This window comes from Homo sapiens, chromosome 3 (genome assembly GCF_000001405.40).
Source record: "Homo sapiens chromosome 3, GRCh38.p14 Primary Assembly".
Taxonomy (NCBI): domain Eukaryota; kingdom Metazoa; phylum Chordata; class Mammalia; order Primates; family Hominidae; genus Homo; species Homo sapiens.
In genome coordinates, this window is record NC_000003.12 from 88,507,952 (window position 1) to 88,510,172 (window position 2,221).

Here is a 2,221-nt window from a genome sequence, read left to right on the forward strand (position 1 = left end):
CTTTAAGCACTTCTCTGTATTGGTTATTCTAGTTATACATTCTTCTAAATTTTTTTCAAAGTTTTCAACTTCTTTGCCTTTGGTTTGAATGTCCTCCCGTAGCTCAGAGTAATTTGATCGTCTGAAGCCTTCTTCTCTCAGCTCATCAAAGTCATTCTCCATCCAGCTTTGTTCCGTTGCTGGTGAGGAACTGCGTTCCTTTGGAGGAGGAGAGGTGCTCTGCTTTTTAGAGTTTCCAATTTTTCTGTTCTGTTTTTTCCCCATCTTTGTGGTTTTATCTACTTTTGGTTTTTGATGATGGTGATGTACAGATGGGTTTTTGGCATGGATGTCCTTTTTGTTTGTTAGTTTTCCTTCTAACAGAGAGGACCCTCAGCTGCAGGTCTGTTGGAGTACCCTGCCGTGTGAGGTGTCAGTGTGCCCCTGCTGGGGGGTGCCTCCCAGTTAGGCTGCTCGGGGGTCAGGGGTCAGGGACCCACTTGAGGAGGCAGTCTGCCCGTTCTCAGATCTCCAGCTGCGTGCTGGGAGAACCACTGCTCTCTTCAAAGCTGTCAGACAGGGACATTTAAGTCTGCAGAGGTTACTGCTGTCTTTTTGTTTGTCTGTGCCCTGCCCCCAGAGGTGGAGCCTACAGAGGCAGGCAGGCCTCCTTGAGCTGTGGTGGGCTCCACCCAGTTCGAGCTTCCCGGCTGCTTTGTTTACCTAAGCAAGCCTGGGCAATGGCAGGCGCCCCTCCCCCAGCCTCGCTGCCGCCTTGCAGTTTGATCTCAGACTGCTGTGCTAGCAATCAGCGAGACTCCGTGGGCGTAGGACCCTCCGAGCCAGGTGTGGGATATAATCTTGTGGTGCGCCGTTTTTTAAGCCCATCAGAAAAGCGCAGTATTCGGGTGGGAGTGACCCGATTTTCCAGGTGCCATCTGTCACCCCTTTCTTTGACTGAGAAAGGGAACTCCCTGACCCCTTGAGCTTCCCAAGTGAGGCAATGCCTCACCCTGCTTCGGCTCGCGCACGGTGCGTGCACCCACTGACCTTCGCCCACTGTCTGGCACTCCCTAGTGAGATGAACTCGGTACCTCAGATGGAAATGCAGAAATCACCCGTCTTCTGCGTCACTCACGCTGGGAGCTGTAGACGGGAGCTGTTCCTATTCGGCCATCTTGGCTCCTCCCCCTAGTGATTGATTTTTAACCATAACTGCTGAATATTTTTTTTCTGTACCATCACCTCTGGAATCATCTATAATGTTTTGCATTCTTATAGTTATTAAAACTGTAGTCCAATTGGAAATTTTAATTTCAATCTCAATTTCAGGTTTGCAGTGACCCATGGTTGCTTTAATATAGACAAAGTGATCATGCTATTACTTTGATTCACAGGAACACCCCTTCTTTAAGAACCTACTTCTCAGGGCTGCAGGATCATTTTTTTTTTAACCTTCAGTGTTGGTCATTACTGTATTGCTGCATCTACACTAACCTGTTCATCAGTACCTTCTGTGAATGTCAAGCATCAAATAGCTGGCGGTTGTTTCACTTTTGAGTTATCTGGAAAGCCCTGAAGCCCACCTCAAATGGGATTCAACTTATACCTGACTAGTTATGCAAGATTCACCAGGTTTCCTCTACCCACTGACTGGTACTCTATTGTGAAGTATAGTTACCGGAGCTGATGTTTGGGTATCTTTGGTTGTGTTCCTTGAATAAAAGGAAACTCTCACATGCTGATCACAGCACATGATGAGAATGTGCACTGCTCCACTGCATGCCATTCTCTCATCCCTGCCACCTGCCTAATTCCTTTCCTTCCTGCTCACGTAGCACAGAGTCTGATCTGATAAGCCATTGCCTAAGCAAACATCCAACTGGGAAATGAAAGCAACTCTACAGCTTTAAAGGCATCCCTATTCCCTGTACTATTCCTCTTGGAGTTTCCTTCTCATTTGGCAAAATGAAGATTAAAGCACATAGAAATACACATGGATCTGACAATTGAAACCATAGACGTCTATCCTATCCTATCTCCCAAAGAGAGTTAATTGATTCTTCATTCACCAAATACTCATCCAGTGTCAACTGTGGACCAATCAGAATACAAAGATCTGGAGATAAAATATGTAAAGTTAGACTTGATTACTATCTTAAAATTCAACAGTCTTGGGAAGAGTGAATGGCAAATATTGACCACACGATAAATCCAAAATTATATCTTGTGATTTTGTTTC

At 45.8% G+C, this 2,221-nt stretch overlaps 2 annotated features.

Moving 5' to 3' along the window:
- Positions 273–873: an enhancer, noted in NCBI's record as "NANOG-H3K27ac-H3K4me1 hESC enhancer chr3:88557374-88557974 (GRCh37/hg19 assembly coordinates)". NCBI's record gives its function as "activates a minimal SCP1, AML or CMV promoter by ChIP-STARR-seq in naive H9 embryonic stem cells {active_cell/tissue: H9 hESC(naive)}" and the evidence as "EXISTENCE:reporter gene assay evidence [ECO:0000049][PMID:30033119]".
- Positions 874–1,474: an enhancer, noted in NCBI's record as "NANOG-H3K27ac-H3K4me1 hESC enhancer chr3:88557975-88558575 (GRCh37/hg19 assembly coordinates)". NCBI's record gives its function as "activates a minimal SCP1, AML or CMV promoter by ChIP-STARR-seq in naive H9 embryonic stem cells {active_cell/tissue: H9 hESC(naive)}" and the evidence as "EXISTENCE:reporter gene assay evidence [ECO:0000049][PMID:30033119]".